Raw genomic sequence first — 21194 nt, 5'->3', positions numbered from 1 at the left:
TCCAAAGTACCAGCAGTGACAATTTTAGATGCACAGTATTAATAAATGAAAGACCCTGAAGCAGTCCTAGGAAAGGAGCTTGAACAATGTACTCAAAACAGTGAACTCTGCAATTTGTAGACGGCTAAGATTATAAACAAATTATATATCTCTTGTTAGACATTTGATGTCTATTGGATGTCTCATGACAGTCATGCATTTCTATATAATCAGACAAATATGAGGATGTAATTATTCATATACCTTTTCATATTTTCAATTATAACAAAATAAATATAAAATTATGTGCTTCTTTTTTAATTCAGAAAAGTTTGTAACCTCTCACTCGCCCACACTGAACCCAAGAACACTAATATCCACAAACACTTAAAATACTCTTCATGGGAAAAATGTCAATATATTTTTACAGTTTAATAAAATTATGGTGAAATCACCACACAAGGTGTTTACTATGAATATTTTTACATAAAATTGAAGTCAAGATATGTTAAATGTAATTGATCATAATTATTTATTCTTCTCTTGACTCATATTTCCCTCATTTTAAATTTTTGAAATTTAAACTTTATTCTATTTTATGCATTTCAGTTGATCATACTGTATTATAGGATATTAAATGTAATATAAATATTGTCATTTATTTTACCTGTGGTTACATTTTATATTTTTCTTCTTGCATTTTACAGTGAGATTATGAAATCTTTCATCATAAAATGTATTTTTTTGTTGTTCTCTGCCTCATAATTTTCGTATACAAGATGATATAAAGATTAATGTTTTTGAGAATATTCAATTTTAGATAATTTTGTATTTCATCCACACTGAATTTTTATTTACTCCATGTGTGAGTTGGAGGACATTTTATTACCTTCACTTCTGATTTATTTTCACCCTGACCCCTCACACTCCACAACTCTTGTTTTAATCAAAGAATAGTGATTTATCATTCCAGTAAATGGAGCCAATTCAATGAAAATATACAGATATACCTTGGAGATATATGGCTTTTGCTCTAAACAAGTATAATAAAACAAATATCACAACAATGTGAGTCATGCAATTTTTCTTCTTTCCCAGTGCATATGAAAGTGATGTTTACACTATACTGTAGAATAAGACTGAAATAGCCTATGTTTGTAATAACAATGTACAAACCTTAATAAAAATATACTTTATTGCAAAAAAAAGCTGACACAGATGTAAACACACACAAAGGTCACATGATGTTGGAAAAATAGTGTTAACAGAGTCACTCAATATAGGGTTGCAAAAAGCCTTCAACTTGTAAGAAATCCAATATCTATAAAGAACAATAAAATGCCATAAGACTAGGTATGCCTGTGTAACAGTGTTCACTAGTGATTTAGAAATCATACATAAAGGATATTTACATATTTATAAAAGTAACTGACCTGTTACAGAATGAGTAGGAGATAAAAATTACAAAATGATTTATAAAGTAAATTAAAAGGAAGACCAAGTCCGAAACATTCCCGAGTGGACAGAATCAGTTAGACATCCTCAGGGACCTCATCTTGTTGACTTGCAAATAAGCAAAACATAACGTGAGCTATTTTTTGTGAATGCCTGCATTAAAAAAAAAAAGAACTTAAGCTTAAATTATCAAAAGTACCAAGAATCTTATAGTAATATATGTCTATAAGGTAAACCAAAAAATACAATTTTATAACTGCAACAAATCACATAATTTTAATATTTTGTTCCTGCATTTGTTCAATACAATCATACCTCTGACACTTTGCCGTTGAAGTGGAAAGCCTCTCTTGCTCTGGTGTTCCACAATTCATAAGTTGCTTCTTTCTCAAGAAAATATTTTTAAAACGGGTTCTTGCTCTATTGTCCATGCTGGAGTGTGTACACAGAATCAAAGCTCTCTGCAGCCTTACATCCTGAGCTCAAGCCATCCTCCCACCTTAGCCCCATGAGTAGCTGCAACTACAGGCATGCACCACCACACTTGGCTAATTTCTTCTTGTATTTTGTAGAGACAGGGTCTCACTATATTTCCCAGGCTGGCCTCAAACTTCTGGGCTCAAGTAATCCCCTCAACCTGGCCTCTCAAAGTGCTGGAATCACAGATATGAGCCACCATTCCCAGCCAAGAAAACTTTTAAAATTTGTATTGTGCTACAGTTTACTTTTTAACAGGACTAAATAAAATAAACTAGCTATACATAAATCTAACAAACATTTGTTAAGCATATGAGAAAGACCATAAAAAGTCCTTGAAATATAAGAAAATCAGCATAAACAAATGGAAAACCAAATCATGTTCTAAGGTAGAAATGCTCAATATCACTCAATCATCATTTTTCTTCAAAGTAATTCAGAAATTTAATTTTGTCCCAGTAGAGATACCATCTGGTATTGGAAGCAGCCACTTTATTGCAAGACTCCTATAGATGGAAACATAAGTGAGAACAGCTGAGAAAACTCTGAAAAAGTAGAGTGGCTATGCCACCCTATGAGACATGCTGATTTATGAATATATGGATAGCTCAGTGGAAGTACAAATTTAAAATAAACCACAGTGTATGAGAAAGTGTCTCTGTTCAGGCTGTTAAATAAAATACATTAGACTGGCTAATGTATAAATAACAGAAATATATTGGTCACAGTTCTGGAGGCTGTAAAGTTCAAGATCAAAGCACCAGCAAATTCAGGGTCTGGTGAGGATCCTGTTTCTCATAAATGGTGCCTTCTTGCTGTGCCTCACATGGTGGCAAGGACAAAAGTGCTCCCTTCAACCTCTATTACAGGGTATTAATTACATTTATGAGGATGAAGCCCTCCTGAGTGAGTCACTTCCCACAAGGCTCCATGTTTTAAAACTATCATATTAATGATTAAGTTTTTACAAATGAGTTTTTACAAGGAGACACAAACTCAGAGGATAGCAAAAAAGTCAACTGGCAATACAAACTACAGTTGGGTAGACATCATTAATGCTTTGGGTTTAGGAATCTGATGTTTCTATCATAAAGGTAAAAAATAACGTGCTAATTATAACCTGCAGTAAAATAAAGGTCAAATGAAAGATAAATCTATACAATGAAAAAATCAAGTTTTTACAAGGTAAATTATTAAAGGTTGTATCAGGATTTTTGTGGTTTCTGGGGATGAATAAGAAACCAGAGATTCCTCCTGTGCCTTTTTTACTGAAGTTTCTGATGCTCTTACTCAATTTGAAAGTGTATAAAAATTTTTCCTGTTTCTGTCTTTGATAAATTCAAAATAAAATTGGCCTTCATATGCTTGATCCTAAAACACTTATTTACTCAGTGTTGCTCTGCTGAGGAAGGGCACTGAGTCTCACATGCACAGAACCATCATGTTCTGTCAGATACAGGACTTCTCCCTGAACCAGAGCCTCACCATTCACACATGATCAGAGGCTTTGCTAGGCATACATTGCTCTGTGCTCTCCCACACAGGCTCAACCCTGAACATCTGACTCTGAAGATGACTGATGAACATGTTCCCTAGTACTCTAATTTACAGAAATTTTGTTTTCTCTTAATAATATCTAACAGAACTCTAGGATATTTCCTGACTCCACCTACCACATACAGAGAGACTGGGAGATTTGGACAGAAGCTTGGATCCTCACTCAAAGCCCTGCCCTGTCCCATCAGCTTTTCTAGAAGTACAATGTTCTAATTACTCTTGAGAGACCACATGTCAGGGCATCTCTCTGTGTCAAATGAATAAAAATGAGAAGAGAAACAGGCTAAAATTTCTGCTGAGGGTTGTATCTAAGTGTCTACTTCCCAGACTTATGTCTCTATTTTACACAATTATTGACAAATATAATTTCATCTTTAGAGGAAAAACTAAAGAAGTAACCCCAGCTCACATAGGAAGGAGAAAATAGAATCAATGTTCTATAGAATCCAGCTTACCTCAGCCATGAGGTGGTAAGTCTCCTCAGAAAAACGTAGTTGTCCTCGATCATCATAAACAACTGTGGCATCAGACAGCTGGACACTGAGAATGCAGGATATTCCCTGGGATTCCATGCCTATATCACAGAGAGAAGCTAATACCACAGGTCCTGTTGTACCATTTGGTCTAACTAATACTACTCCACTACCTGGCCCAACAGGATTCCCCAACTCTTCTCTGGGCCTCACTAGGGATAGTTCAGAAAGACAAAAAGTTATTAATGCCTCTCTATTTCTGTAGTTTCTGGGGTATAATTTGTTCATTTTTAGGTTTTCAGTTTTTGTCCTCCCTCTACATCCACAGAATTTTTGTCTCCTATGCTTGTACCTATAACTTTATGTAGTCATTTTTTCTAGTCTAGTCACCCGTACTGTCTTCTAGTCATTTTTTTCTAGTATAGCGAGATGATATGGACACAAGAACTTCTATATAAAAGTTCACTTTTATATAGAACACAACCCTTTTTGGGCTGGACTGTAATTCAGAGAATGTAGAAACCAGATTTGCCTGGGGTTGCAGCTAAGGAAAAGAAAGACCCATCTTGCCCAGGAATGATCAGTGAGAAATCTCAGAGTTTGAAAATGGATGCCTATAGACTTCAGGGAAGTTCTCTTAATCTTAGAGTCAGTAAAGAAGGGATTTTGGGTTGTTTAGGGGAAAGTCACGTTCAATTTACAAATTATATATGTGTGGACCCAGAGGAAAAAAATAAGTAAAATCAAACAGTTTGCTATGTTGATAAATATAGTGATAAAAGCCACAATGTGATTAAAATGCAAGTGGTCTCAAAACCCTAAAGGTTACACGAATGAGCTTCAACTGACACATGGTGTGGCTGGAGTCACCTGATTATTATGCTAAAGTGAGACATGATTGATACCTCAAGAAGTGGGTCAAAGGCTGATGCAGTTATCATGCCAGGAATGGTCTGGGGCCTTCTAAACCATCGGACAAATAGGTCACCTTTCACCAAGAAGCACAAATCTGGCATGCAGTGATGACCTCTGCATTACACGTGGATTCAGGCTTGGTTTTGGGCTTAATTGTGGTAACTATTTTCAGAGAACAGATCCTTATTATGGACTCCTAAATGAAGGACCTGACAGATCAGCAGATAAAATTCTGGTGTGAACCCAACAAAAAGATATCCTTTACCAAATAGCCTTTAGTTTCAATGTGGAAGATTAAACAGTTAAAACATGGCCAGTGATCCAAAACCCTGAGCTCTTACCATTTACAGGAGCAGCCAGCCTGGCTTCAGGTTCTGTGTGACTAGCACTGAGGTTAGACATCCACAACCGCCCAGTGAGCACCATAAGGTGGCACCTTTCTTGACTCTTGAGTGAATTAGGGCCAGGCATCTAGGAATCATTCAGTAAATTGAAGACCCCATAGAGCCAGCAGTTTTTCTTCAAACAGTGAAGTGGGATGAATTGGTTCATTTTCATACTGCTGATAAAGACATCCCTGAGACTGGGCAATTTACAAAAGAAAGAGGTTTAATGAACCCACGGTTCTACGTGCTGGGGAGATCTCACAATTATGGCAGAAGGTAAAAGGCATGTCTCACATGGTGGCAAACGTGAGAAAAGAGAATGAGAGTAAAGCAAAGCAAAAATGGTTTTTCCTTATAAAACCATCAGATCTTGTGAGACTTATTCACTACCACCAGAAAAGTATGGGGAAAACCACCCCCATGATTCAATTATTTCCTACCAGGTCCCTCCCACAACACTTGGGAATTATGGGAGCTAAAACTCAACATGCAATTTGGGTGGAAAACAGCCAAACTGTATCAGAGGGCATAAAATTTTCACCAAAGAACCTAATTTTTCTGTTACAGCTAAGATATTCCTGTGACAGTCCAATTTTCTTTTAGAATATGTTACATTCTAAGTGGGATTCTGATGTCTTGGAGAACTCAAATTTACTCACTTCAAAATTGGAATGTCAAGCTGGGAAGTCCCAAGCCCTTGATGTGTCAGGATTAAGTTTGACAGGAGCTTCAAAGCAAGCTCATCAATGACTTTCAAATCAGTGTAAATAGTAGTGTTAGGAAGACTATGTGTCAAAAGTTCTAAGGTGGAGGCTGACTCCCTCTCTCAGAGGCTTCAGATGAAAACAATATCAAGTATTCCTTGGCTGCTAGAAGAATTGAACTATGTAAATCTGCCCACATAGTTCCAGTGAGTCTTAACTGGAAAACAGGACTATGGGATGTTGGGGATTTTATCAGCTACTGGCAGAGATATGTTACCATTCTAGACGGGAGCATGAAGGCAGATGCTTCTAAATTGGCAGCCAATAAACATCACCTACAGAGTTAAACTTTTTGGACATCAGAGGGTAGAGGCACTCATGATGAATTCTGCCCTGCCACTGTGGCAAATGGCAGGGAAGTTTGTCTCACACTCCTTGACTTGTTTCTCACCCAGTTTAGAGTAATCCCCTCTGGCACTTATGGGGCAGATAAGGACAAAAACACCTAACCTGACAATTGCTACTATAGATTCTGATGTAGAAACAAAACAAGACATTGATTTAGTTCAAAAAGCTCCATCTCCATTGTTATGTGGCCTTTTTCCCTCACTGTCACCCCGCCCAAACACTATTATTTGAGTTGTGCTGTTTGTTTTTATTTTATTGTTTACCTTTGTTTTACGTTATCATCTATGTAAACACAAATCAACAAGTTACACTATCCCCAGGACAGGGGAATGCAAAAAACCAATAAAGGCTGGCACAGGTGTGTTTTGGGGATAGGACAGGGCAATGGGGAGGTGTTATTCTCTCTAAACTTTTCACCCTGAGTTCTGTGCTGCCTCCTCACCACTGTACTTTCTAGTTTTTGGAAAGTATTCAGGATCAGAAGCCTCCATTTGATGAAGGAGAATGAAGTCCAAGATCAAGATGTGGGCAAGGTGGTTTTTCTCTGAGGCCTCTCTCCTGGGGTTGTAAGTGGCCGCCTTCTCCTTATGTCCTCATGTGGCCATTTCTCTGTGTGTGCACGTTTGTATCTTTATCTCCTCCTTTGTGGAGACAACAGTTACATTGGATTAGGGTTCTCCCTAAGGTCCTCATTTAAAATTTTTTTTTGTAACTGATAAAAATTGCCTACACTTATGGTACTGTTGTGAAATATGCACACATTATGGAATGGTTAACCCAAGATAACTGGCATATGCATTACCTCACAAACCCATCTTTTTTTGTTGTGAGAATACTCAAAATCTACTGTCCTAGCAATGTTCAAGAACAGATTACATTAACTGTAGTCACCAAGTGCAATAGATCTCTTGCACTTATTCCTCCTGTCTAACTGAAATTTTGTATAATTCGACCATCTCCCTACTCCTTAACCTCTGCTCCCAAAGACCTCATTTTAAGGTAATTACCTCTGTGATGATGCTATCTCCAAATATAGTCACATTCTTAGGTGCTGGGGGTTAAGGTGTCAACATAGGAATTTTGGGAAGCAGACGATTCAGCTCACAGCAGCCTCTGTCTGGACATAACATCTACATTGAGATCCCAGTAACCTAGCAGTAGAGGGAATGACATGCAAAGAGTCTGAGGAAGAAAATTCCAGGCAGAGGATTCTATTGAGCAATTATCCTGAAATGGGAGCGAAGAGGGTGAGTTTGAAAAACCAGAGACCAGTGGCAGAGGGAAGGGTGTAAGGAAAGCAAGGGGAGGAGGTGAAGTTTCAGAGTTCCTGTGAGATATGTAAACTTGACTGTGATTTCATTCCCCATGAGGTGAGAAGTTATTGGAGGGTTTTAAGCAAGAGGCACAATCAGATTCATATGTTTAAAAGCTTTTTCCAGTCACTTTATGAAGAATTAATTCTAAAGAGGGCAAATATGGAAACAAGCAGCAGATGAAAATGACAGTGGCTTAGACTGGGTGAAATCACAATGAAGTAGGTGGATACATTCTATTCTGGGGATACATTTGACCCCAAGGCTATAGGAAATGTTGGTTTGTTGCATGCAACAGAAAAGAGTCTTCAAGACTATTGCTACATGTAAGTCAAGTCAGGAGAATTTCCAGAGATATGGTGGGGCCCTTTACTGAGATAGGAAGGAACAGGAGAACAGGCTTTCAGAGAACATTCAAGTGATATAGTATTTTCCTAAGAGCATCAGTCAGGAAATTTGGTGGAGCCTGGGCATCCTTAGAAGTACTGACACACCTCTTGCCGGATCATTTTAGCACTGACATCCAGACCCGGAGCATGGAAATTCCCAAATTGGAAGAGGTGTGATGCTGTAGGAACGCAAGTGTGGTGATGAGGTTGGTGGGGCTTTGCATCACACCATGTGTGTGTGAGATGGAGAATTGCTGCATTTGGCCTGGATGAGGTCAGTCTCTGGTGCAGTGGGAATAAGGGCACCCACCTCATAGATTTGTCCTGATGATTCAACAGAGTCATGCTCATGAAATGAATGTAAGTCCTGGCATATGCTGGGCCATTGGCATGAATTGTTATTGGTATTATTAATATTCTTGGTGTTTTTATTAATATCCTCAATACTGATGGGACATCAGCTCATCAACTCCAAAAAAAACCTTCAGAAATATCCAAAGGCCCTCAGAGAGTCTTCACTCCTCCGTACATTTCTCCAGCCTAGTCACCAACCAGCTCTCACTTCAGCCTTGTTTTTAAGTTAAACAAGTGGCGCTGGGCATGTCCCTAAGGTTCTGAGCATTTTGTCAGTTGTGTTCTGTCCACTCCAGGCCTTTGACAGACATTGATGCCCTTTAGCAGATCTAGGAAGTTTGCTTATACTCCTCCTTTCCAGGGAGATTAATTGTGGATAAATATTGGATTGGTCAAATGCTCTCTGTGTCTGTTGAAGGGATCTTGCTGTTACTTTCCTTTATCCTATTACTTTGTGTAATGTATTGATTGATTATTGGATAAGTCAACATTGCCTTTGTAAAATAATTCCATTTGGTCTTTTTCAGGAGAGTAGTCACGTAAATAGTCTTAATTTACCCTCGTATTTATTGGCAAGTCTATATTATGTTTTGTAAGGAAAACACTTTTGTAATTTGAAGGTATTTTTTCTGAAAACTTTATAACTCTGTATCTCTTTTATGTATCACTTTACAATATTTTAATTGTAATAAAAACACATAACAAAATTTACAATTTTATATGTGTTTAATTGCATAATTTAGTAGTATTACATATATCCACATTGTAATGCAACAGGCTTCTAGAGTTTTCCATTGCAAAACTAAAACTCAATACCCATTAAAAAACAACTGCCCATTTTAACCTTCTCCTGAGCCCTTGACAAATACATGCTATTTTCTCTTTCTATGAGTTGGACTACTTAAGATTTCTCATAAGTGGAATCATACACTCACTGTCACTTTGTTCCCTGACATATTTCACTTAACATAATGTCCTAATGGTTTATTGTTACTGTAGCGTGTGATAGGATTTCCTTTTAAATTATATTTCATCATATGTATATATCATATTTTCTTTACTTATTTATCTGTCAAGGGTCATTTAACTAGCTTCTACCTTTTGGATTTTGGGAATAATTCTATTATAAACATGGTTGTGCAAATATTTCTTTCAGGTCCTGCTTTGCACATTTAGATAGATATCCCAGAAATGGGATTGCCAGATTGTATGATAATTTCATTTTTAATATTCTGAGGAAACTCTTTACTATTTTTCAAAATGGTTGCCTTATTATTTTTCCCACCACCAGTGCACAGTGTTCCAATTTCTCTACATCCCTGAAAACATTTGATTTTTTTTTCTTGTTTGATAGTGGCCATCTTAATGAGTGTGAGGTAATATCTCATTTGGGTTTTGCCTTGTATTTCACTAAAGATTTGTATTTTGAGCATCTTTTCAAATTCCTCTTGGCTATTTGCATATCTGCTTTGTAAAAACATCTTTTGAGTGTTTTGCCCATTTTTAAATAGGATCATTTGCTTTTTGTTGTTGAGTTTTAGAAATTGTTTATACATTCTAGATACTAACCTCTATCAAATATATTATTTGCAATTTTTTTCTCATTTCTTCGGTGACATTTTTACTCCTCTAAATGTTTTCTTTGATATCCAAAAGCTTTTTGCACTTGATGTAGTCCCATTTTTCTGTATTTATTCTTGTTTCTTCTGCTTTTAATATCATATTCAAAAGAAATTACCAAGACACATGTCATGATTTGTCACCCTATATTTTATTTTAAGAGTTTTATAGCTATCTAACATTTAAGTGTTTAATTAACTTAAGACATTTTTGTAAATGGTGCAAGTGAAAAGTCCAATTTTATTTTCTTTAATTTTGATATTCAGTTTTGTAATGCTATTTGTTAAAAAGTCTCTTCTTTCCCCGTTGTTCAGTCATGGCAACTTGATTGAAGATTACTTGATGATATTCATGAAGGTTTATATCTCGGTTCTCTATTCTGTACCATCATCTATTTGTCTCTCTATTTTTATTTCTATAGTTCTATAATATGTTTTGGAGTCAGGAAGTTTGATAACTCTAACTTTGTTCTTCTCTGAAGCTATTTTGGCTACTCATAATCCCTTGATATTCCATATGAATTATAGAAATTAATATTTTTGCAAAAAAAGTCAGCATTCCTGCCAGGCAGGCCTTGAAATTTTATATGAGTTTTAGGACTTAAAATAATATGTGTGCAAAAAATATAACATTTGGATCTTAATAGGAAATACTTTGAATTCGTGCTTCACTGTGAGTAGTATTGACATCTTAACAATATTAAAATTTCTGAGCCTTGAACATGAGGTCAAGAGTAGGATGCTTTAAGTTTCATACATTTTTTGATTTACCAGTTTCCTTCTGCTTGTGATTTGTAGTTGAGGGGTTATTATATTGCCCAGGCTGGTCTCCAACTTTTGGCCTCAAGCTATTCTCCCTCCTCAGTCTCCTGATGTGTTTGGATTACATGGATGAGCCACTGCACCTGGCCTCCTTATTGTTTTTCTGTCATTTTTATGAATTGAAGGTAATTTTTGGAAATGTTTATAAATATGTATCTCTTTAGAAGGTTTCTCATTTTTAAGGTAGTCAAAAACACATAAAAATTACCATCTTAACTATTTTGAGCGCATAGTTAAATAATATTAAATATGTTCGCGGCCAGGCGCAGGGGCTCACACCTGTAATCCCAGCACTTTGGGAGACCAAGACTGGCAGATCAAGAGGTCAGGAGTTCGAGATCAGCCTAGCCAACATGGTGAAATCCTGTCTCTACTAACATACAAAAATTAGTTGGGCATGGTGATTGGCACTTGTGTTCTCAGCTACTTGGGAGGCTGAGGCAGGAGAATCTCTTGAACCCAGGAGGCAGAGGTTGCAGTGAGCCAAGATCATGCCACTGCACTCCAGCCTGGGTAACAGAGTGAGACTTCATCTCAAAAAAAAAAAAAACAAATTTTATATACATACTGTTTGGCTTTTTATAAACCCTTTAGAGTCCATATGAGTTTTAGAAATGTTTTTGTGTTTCTGCAAAATGAAATGACAGTTAATACTTGATGGAGATCACATTGAATCTGTAGATCACTTTGGGTAGTGTGGACATCTTCACAATATTGTTTTCCAACCCTTGAAGAAAAGCATGCTCAAGAGTGTGTTGTTTAATTTCCACATATTTGTAGATATTTCAGTATTTTTTCTGCTCTTGATTTCTAATTTTATTCCCTTTTAATAAAAAATGATAGTTTGTAATATTATAATCTTTTTTTTTTGAGACAGGGTTTTGCTCTGTTGCTCAGGCTGAAGCACAGTGGCTCAATCATGGCTAACCACAGCCTGATCTCCCAGGCTCAAGAAATCCTCCCACCTCAGCCTCTTGAGTAGCTAGAACACAGGCATGCCCAGCTAAATTTTTTTATTTTACATTTTGTAGAGACAGGGTCTCCCTGTGTTGCCCAGCACAGTGTTGAGGCTTTACTCTCATTGCATACACTGCCAACAGTAAAGATTTTCACACTCCCACATAGACACAGCCCACTGTTGAAGTTGTGAATTTCACCAGCAAAGGCAGTCAAAAGTGGTTATTATTACCCTTATATGTGTATTCAGCCTTCAGGTGAGATGATGAGTCTGTGACCAAAATTGAGCAAATATGTTAGTTGTCTGAGGTTGAGGCTTTCATGCATGGATCCAAATTACTGTTGAAATTATGACTTGCATACTTGGACACACGAGGTGTGTAAAAGTTTATTAGGTGCATACTTTTCAATACCTGGACCCAGAACATGTGCAGGAATGTAAATTCCATTCTCAGACCTTCCCACAGGTGTGACTGTGACATATATTTTTGCCCAGCCAGAACTTGACTGATTTGAATATACTGCCCGAAGAAAGCCCACAGTTTGATAGTTTGATTGTGACATAGACCTAAGTCAATAACCTTGATAATGTGGCCCTCCTGCCTAGTCCCTTCTCACAGATGGCATTGTGATATATCTCTGGTCTCATTTCCAGGTGATACATCTCTGGTCTCATTTCCAGGTGATGTAATTGTCCTCTCCTCCCTGGGCCCCATTCCCAAAGGGGATTGTAACATTTTGCTGAGTTCAGCCCTCACACAATGTAATTCTTCAGCATGGGTTCTGCCCACAGAAGACATTGTGACACATCACTGCTCCCAGCACCATAGTGACATGAAATTTTTACCAGCACTCAACTCACAGGAGGGATACTAATATATATCTGGCTCAGTATTCAGGTGATGTGACTCTTCTGCCTGGTTCTGCCCACAGGTAGAATTGTGACATATAACTAGGTTCAGGACACAGGAATAATGATGACTGTCATATGATGGCCCAGCCAGTAGGGAGATTTTCACTCTCATAGCTAAGGTTAGAATAATCAGTAAGGTTCTCAGTCTCCTAATTTTATAAAAATTACAGATGATTATAACACTTATGACTATTTTGTAAAATACTTGGGACTTATCAGAGTCCATTACAGAAGTAAAATTTTGCCTCTCATAGGCACACTATCCAAAAATTGGGATTGTCAGTCTCACACATGGACAAAGCCCACTGGTGAGGTTGTAAATCTCACATGTGCAAACAGTCCAGAGTTAGAATTGGGACTGTCATATGTGTATCTGGCACATATAACAGATGTTGGAAGGTGACTCATTTCTGGACCCAGCTCATAGGCATGTCAATGTCTCTCATGCCTGGTCCCAGGAAATAGAAGACATGTTGACTCTTGTATCTAGGCCTACTGCAAGAGATAAGATCCTTGGCTTCCTACTTTTACAGACGTCTCAAAGAATTACAACACTCATGCATATTGTATAATGCCCTAAGGTGGTACAGAGAGTATTAAAAGAGAGCCCAGCTCAAAATCCTTATTGGGACTTTTGTATGCACACAGCCCAAGTTAGGATTAAAGGTGAACAGAACCCACTCATGAGGTCCTGGTTCTCACTCACAGAAACAATTCACAGTTGGAATTGTGACTGTCATATCTGGATCCATCCACAAATGAGATGGTTTCTCATTTCTGGACCCAGATCACAGGCACATTGATGACTCTCATACCTGAACTTAGGGCAACATGTAGGATCATGGGTTTATACCATCATTAAGGTCTCAGAGCAGGTTTCATTCTCATGCAGACCATACGAAGCTCTTAAGTGGCACAGAAGGTATCTTATAAACACCCAGCACGCAGGTGACATTGTGATTGCTCTATGCACCCAGAACATACACTGAGGTATGTCATCTTCCCGTATAGACACAGTCCATTGTGGAAATTCTGAATATCACATCCAGATCAGTTGAAAGTTGACATTGTGACTCTCATATATAGAACCAGTTCACAGGTGGAATGGTGACTTTTATACTAAACATCAGCATACCTGTGAGGCAGTGACTGCCCTAATTAGACAGTGATTGCAGTTGAGGTTGGAGCTTACATGTATGAATACTGTCTATCACTGATATTGTGATTTGTGTACCTTAACACAAATCACAGGTGTTGTCTCTTATACCTTGAGCCAGAAAATGTGAGGTGCTGTGAATCTCATCCCAGGACCTTCCTGCACATGTGACTTTGACATGTAATTTTTTCTCAGAATCTGATTGTCTTTACCTCCCTGCCTAAGCCCTGTCAATAGTTGGGATTGTGACATATACCTAACCCAAACAGCTAAATGATGTGACTGTCCTCCCTGAGCCTTGGCCACAAGGGATATTGTAGTGTATCTCTGAGCCCTTCACCTAGACGATGAGACTCTGCTTTCCTGCCTGTGTCCTGCCTCCAGTAACAGAAATAGGGGAATATTACCTAGGTGGATGACTGTCCTTTCATAACTGGGCCCTGAGAATGGGTGGGATTGTGACACATTGCTCAGCCCAGCACCTAGGTGATGTGACTCTTTTGACTGGGTTCTGCATACAGTGGGCATTGTGACATATCACTGAGCCTAGCACAAAAGTGATGTGACTTTCTCCTCTATGTGTGGGTCCTGCCCATAGAGGGATATTGACATTTCCATGGCCCAGCATTCAGGTGATGTGACTTTCCTTCTTGGTTCTGCTCACAGGTGAAGTTGTGACCTTTACCTTGGACCACGCAACTGTCATGATGATGACTTTCTTACATGGACCAAGCCAATAGGAGAAATTTTGACTCTAACAGCTAGGCTTAGGGCAACAACTAAGGTCCATGGTCTACTAATTGTAAAAAGGTCACAGAAGATTATGACACTCACATGTATTTTATAAAGCCCTTGGGGTGTATAGAGAGAGTCACATTACACAGCCCAGCAAACAGGTGAGCCTGTGACTCTCAAAGACACATGTAGCCAACAATTAGGATTGTCACCTTCATACATGGACAGAGTCCACTAGTGAGATTCTAAATCTCACACATGGATGAAGTTCAGAGTTGAAACTGTGACTGTCATATGTGGATCTGCCCTCAGGCTGGATGATGACTAATATCTGGATCCAGCTTACAAGCATGGTGTTGATTCTCATACTTAGACCAAGCCAATAAGATATATATTAACTCGTACCTAGCCTTAGGACAATGGGTAAGGTTTTGAGTTTCCTACCTGTACAGAGGTCACAGAGGACTATGAAATTCTAGCATATGGTGTAATTCCCTCAGGTGGTAAAGAATATGCAAAAACAGGGCCCAGCACATAGTTGAGGTTGTTACTTTCATATACACATCCAGTCAAAACTTAATATTGTCACCCTCATACACAGACAGTGCCCACAGCTGAGGTCCTAAAACTTCCATGCATGCAGTCCACAATTGACATTGTGATGGCCACAGGTATGATGGTGATTTATTTCTGGAGCCCACTCACAGGCACATTGATGAATCTCACTCCTGGACACAGCCAATAAGAGAGATGTTGACTCTCCTGTCTGGGCTTAAAACAATGTGTAAGATCGTGTGTCCACCCAAGCATGCAGGTTTCAGAGAGTGTTGCGACTCTTAGGCTTATTTTATAATTCCCTCGGGTGGTACAGAGAGCATCATAAAAGGGCTCAAAATACCGGTGAGATTGTTACTCTTATATGCACTCCCAGCCAACAGTATTGTCACGTTCCAAATGAACACAGCCCACTGTTAAAGTTCTGAATCTCACATCTAGAGGCAGTCAGAAGTTTGCATTGTTTCTGCCATATGTGGATTCTATGCACAGGTAGGATGGCGACTCTGGACCAAGTTTCAGCACCTTGTGATGTTTTTATTTTTTACTGGGACACTATGTGCAGGCAGGGATGGGACTCTCATGCATGGGCTTAGTCTACTGCTGAGGTTGTTACCTGCCTTTTGGGTGCAACTCACAGGAACTATTGCCTCTGAATCCAAAGCTGGAGCATACGAGAGATTGCAAATTTTATCTCTGGACATTTACACAGCTGTGACTGTGACATACACCTTTGCTCAGGCCCAGCCTACAATTTAGATTGTAAAATATACTTAGGTTTAGCACGTAGATAATGCAACTTTCCTGCCTGGACTCTGCCATCCGGGGAAATAGTAACATATCTCTGGGCCAATAACCTAGGTAATGTAACTCTCCCTTTCTGCCTGGGCCAGACCACAGGAGTCATTGTGAGATATCACTGGGCCCATCGCCTACATTATGTGACTCTTTCTATCTTGAGTTTGTTTACAGGAAGAATGATGACATGTCATTGGGACCATCACCTAGGTGACATGACTGTTTTCTTCCTGGAACATGTTTACAGGGTGGATTGTGACATATTGTTTTGCCTAGCACCCAGAAGATACAATTTTTATTGCCAGGACCCCACCCACAGGAAAAATATTGACATATCACCGGCCCAACACCTAGTTGATGTGAGTCTCCCTCCTAGTCTTTGCCCACAGGTGGGATTGTCACATATAATTAGGTTCAGCCCACAGGTATAATGAAGACTCTCTTATATGTGGACCCAGCCAATAGAAGAGATTTTGATTCTTATAGCTAGGCTGAGGGAAACAAGTAAGGATCCAGGTCTTCTACATGTAGAAAGGTCACATAACATTACAACACTCATGCATATTTTATAAAGCCCTTGGATAATATAGAGTGTGTCATATCAGGGCCCCGCACAGAGGTAAAATAGTGATTCAATAGGCACACCCAGATGACAATTAGCATTGTTTCCCTCACAAATTGACCAAACTTACTGGTGAGGTCCTAACTTTCATATGAGGACAAAATACACAGTTAGAATATTGATGGGCAAATGTGAATCTGGCCAAAGATCAGATGGTGAGTCATATCTATACCCAGCTTACAGGCCCAGTGATGACTCTTATACCTGCACCCAGCCAATAAGAGAGCTGTTGACTCTCACAGCTAGGCTTAAGCCAAAAAATAAAGTCCTGAGTTTTCTACTTTAAAAAAATAATAATAACAGGTGATTACCACACACACGCATATTGTGTAAAACCCTCAGATGGTACAGTGAATGTCTTAATAGTACCCAGCACAACACTGAGATTGTGACTATTGTATGAACACCCAGCTGACTGTTACAATTGTCACCCATACACATGGACAGAGCAGAATAATGAGTTCCTGAGCCTCACCGAAATATACAGTCCACTGTTGGAATTGTGCCTGTCACATGTGGATTGAACCACAGGAGGGATGTTGACCCATTTCTGTACCCAGGTCACAGGGGCATAAATGGTTTTCATAACTGGACCCAATAAACAAGAGAGATGTTGACGGTCATGCCTGGTCTTAGGACAGTGGGCATAATTATACATTTGAGGTTGTAACACATACCTAGGAAGGCACAAAAATCTCAAAGCAGATTGTGCACATATACCATGTAAAACCATCAGGTGGCACAGACTGTCATAACAGGAACCAGCAAACAGGTGAGATTGTGACTCTCATATGCACACCTGGCTGACATATGTGAATTCTCACCCTCCCACAAAAACCCAGCCTACTTACAACATTCTGAATCTCACATTCAGAGGCAGTCAAAAGTTAGAACTGTGACTCTCACACATGGATGCAGTCCACAGGTAGGATGGTGACTCTCACACCAAGATTCAGAACGCCTGTGAGGCTGTTACTCCCCTACTGGGACACTGTCTGCAAGAGGAGTTCAGATTCTCATGCACTGATCAAGTCCACTGTTGAGGTTGTGACTCGAGTACTTGAACACATCTCACAAGATATGTTGACTGTCATAAGTGAAGCTGGGACATTAGTGGGATTTTGAATCTTATCCTGAAAACTTTCTTCTGGTGTGATTGTGATATATACCCTTTCCCAGCACCTGGTTGATTTTACTTTCTTGCCTGGGCCCAGTGTACAGTTGAGATTGTCACATACACCTGGACCATGCACTTTATTTATATGACTCTTCAGCATGAGCCCTGCCCTCAGGGGAAATTATGGTATATCTCTGGGGCAATCCTCAAAGTGAAGTGACTCTTCTTTCCTGCCCAGGCCCTGCCTTTAGTTGAGATTGTGACAGGCATATCACTGGGCCCTTAATGCAAATGATGTAACTTCTCTGCCTGGGTTCTAATTAGAGAAGGTATTGTGAAATCTCTCTGGGCCTATCACCTAGGTGATGTAACTCTGCCTTCCTGCCTGAACCTGCCCCCAAGAGGCATTGCGACGTATCACCAGGCCCAGCTCCCAGGTTATGTAACTGTCCTGCCTTGGCCCTGCCCACAGAGGGCATTTTGACACATTGCTATTTCCAGTACCTAGGTCATATGACCCTCCTGAATTGCTCTTGCTCCAAGGGGGGATTTTGACCTCTCACTGGGCCAATCACCTAGGTGTTGGGGCTCCTCTGCTGCCTAGATCCTGGCTAAAGTGGGAATTGTGACATATCTGTGGCCAGCATCCAGGTGATGTGACTCTGGTGCCTTGTCTCTCTCCACAATTGGAATTGTGAAATATACATAGGCACAGCTTACAGGTGGGATGATGACTCATACCTGAAAACATTTTGACTCTTGTAGTTAGTCTTATGGCAAAAATGAAGGTCCTGGGTCTTCAACTTGTAGGGTGGTCATGGAGTGTTTTGACCTTCGTGCACATTGTATAAAGCCATCAAGTGCTACAAAAAATGCCATAATGTAGTTCATCACATAGGTGAAAATGTGGCAGTTGTATGCACACCCAGCCACAAGTAAGGATTGTCACCCTCCGACATGAACAAAGCCCACTGTTGAGGTTCTGAATCACATGTCAAGAGGCCATAAAGTTGGAAATGTGAACCTCATAAATCAATCCAATCCACAGATGGGATGATAACTCCAAGACCAGGATTTAGAACACCTGGGGACTGTAATTTCCCTATTAAAACATAGTCTTCAGGTGAGATTTGGGCTTTTGTGTACTGATTTACTCCACTGTTGTGATTAACTTGCATACTTGGACTCAACCCACAAGACGGGTTGACTCTAATACCTTTAGCTGGAAAATGTCCAGGATTGTGAATTTCTCTTGTTGACTGGGCCCAGGTATAAGCTTTATTGCTGTGCCTGTGAGATGGGTTCAAAAATGAGTCACTATCTCACCTGTGGCTGCATCTATGTATGACAGTCACAATTCCAAATCTGTATTGCGTTTGCACATGAGATTTAGGACCTCACCACTGAGTACTGGCCATGTGTGAGGATGACAATTCTGTCAGCTGGATGTACATATGAGAGTCACAGCCTCACCTTTGTGTGGGTCCTGTTATGACACACTCTGTACCACCTGAGGGCTTTATACAATGTGCTTTGGTGTCATAATACACTATGACCTTTGTTAAAGTAAGAGACCAAGGACCATGACTGTTGCCCTAACCCTAGCTATGAGGGTCAAAATCTCTTCTCTTAGCTGGATCCCACGTATGACAGTCATCATTTCACTTTTAACCTGTGACTATATATATGTCACAATTTTACCTGTGAGCAGGGACCAGTCACAAAAGTTTAATCACCTGGGTGCTGGGTCAGCTATATGTCACAATTCTTACTTTGGCCAGAGCCCAGGCAACAGAGCAGAAACACATCACCCACATGATTGGCCCAGTGATGGGTCACAATCCTCTCTGGGAGCAGGGCCCATTCAGGAGAGTCATATCACCCAGCTGCTTGGCCAAGAAATATGTCACAATCCCCCCTGTGCACAGAGCCAAGGCAGGATAGTTACATCACCTGGGAGCTGGGCCCAACAATATGTCCCAATTACTCTTGGGGAAAGTGTCCAGGCAGAAGAGCAGAACCACATCACCTAGGTGATGGGCCCAGAGATATGCCACAATTTCTTCTGTGGGCTGGGCCCTGGGATAAGAATAACATCACCTGGTGCTGGACCCAGCAATATGTTACAATCCCAACTGTAAAAAGTTTCCAGGCAATAGAGGAGAGTCACATCACCTATGTGACTGGCCCAAAGATATGTAATAATATTCCCTTTGGGGAGTGCCAAGGAAGGAGTGTCTCAACTCCTCCGTGCTCAGCCCAAAGATATGACACAAAACACACTGCAGGGAGGGCCCAAGTAGGAGATAAGAGTCCTATTAACTAGGGGTTTAGCCAAGCAATATGTAAAAATTATTCCTGTTGGCAGATCCCAGCCCCCCATCCAAAAGAATCAAATCACTTGGGTGGTGCTTCCCATGAAAATCACAAGCCCTTTTGAGTGCAAAGCCCATGAAGCAGAGGCGATTCACATTACCTAGGTGATGATCCCAAAGATATTTCACAATGCTGTCTGTGGGGAGAGTCCAGGGAGACAAGTCACCTCACTTGAGTGCTGGGCTCAGAAAATGTCACAATCTTCTCTGATGGAAGAGCCCAGAAAAGAAGGAAGAGCCGCATCACCTAGGTGTTGAACCCACTGATGTGTCGAAATCTCTATTCTGAGCAGAGTCCAGGCAAGTGAGGAGAGTCACATCTTTTAGGTGATTGGTCCAGAGATATTTCTCAATGCCCCCTGTGCACATGGCCTAGACAGAAGACACACATAAGCAAGATTACCTTGTTGCTTAGCCCAGTGATGTCACAATGCTTCTTGAGGGCAGGGCACAAACAGGATCAGAGAGTCACATCATTAAGTACCAGGCTTAGTGATATGTTATAACCTTACCTGTGAGCAGGGTCTAAGTAGGGGAAAAGATTTATATCACCTAGGTGCAAAGTAGAGAGATACATCACAATTCCTTTGAAGGAAGTGTCTAGGCAAAATAGTCACATCACCTAGGTGTTTATTCCAGGTATAAGTCACAAGATATATCTGTGCTGAGCCCAGAAGCACTGTGAAATCACTAAGGTTCTAGTTGTATGTCACAATTATACCTGTGGGAAGGCCCAGTAATGAGACCTCCAAATCCAAACATTTCTCCACTCCAGGTAGAACTCCTGTTGCGTTGGGTCCAAGTACTTGAGTCACAATCTCAACAGTGGACTGCATCCTCACATGAGAGCCCCAATCCCTTCTCCAAGCTATGTCCTGGTAAGGGAGTCACAGCCTCAATGCTGTGCTGAATCTTGGTGAGAGAGTCACCATTTCGCCTGTGGACTGGATCCACCTGTGAGAGTCACAACTCCAACTTCCCCCTGCCCATGGGTGTGAGCTTAGAACCTCAGTTGTGGGTTATGTACATGTGGGCATGTGACAATTTCTACTTTTGGTTCTGTGGCCATACAGATCTCTATATCTCACCTGTGAACTGGGTCCTGTTATGACACT

At 40.0% G+C, this 21194-nt stretch overlaps 1 long non-coding RNA gene across 2 annotated transcripts in view; it reads right to left on the bottom strand.

The window, feature by feature from the left end:
- LINC01566 (long intergenic non-protein coding RNA 1566) overlaps window positions 1-20595 on the bottom strand; it is a 28298-nt gene extending 7703 nt beyond the window's left edge. The window contains exons 1-7 of one of the 2 annotated variants that reach the window (NR_027079.2): window positions 20181-20480; window positions 7362-7505; window positions 5198-5439; window positions 3924-4042; window positions 1750-2417; window positions 1413-1542; window positions 1156-1300 (exon numbers count right to left, since the gene is read on the bottom strand). This is a non-coding gene — a long non-coding RNA (long intergenic non-protein coding RNA 1566). The other variant, NR_027080.2, reaches the window with a different exon arrangement.
- Between the last annotated feature and the right edge of the window lie 599 nt (window positions 20596-21194).

The sequence above is a fragment of the Homo sapiens genome, chromosome 16 (assembly GCF_000001405.40).
Source record: "Homo sapiens chromosome 16, GRCh38.p14 Primary Assembly".
NCBI classification, from domain to species: Eukaryota; Metazoa; Chordata; class Mammalia; order Primates; family Hominidae; genus Homo; species Homo sapiens.
The sequence above is the reverse complement of the archived record's forward strand: the minus strand, read 5'-3'. Positions and strand labels throughout refer to the sequence as shown.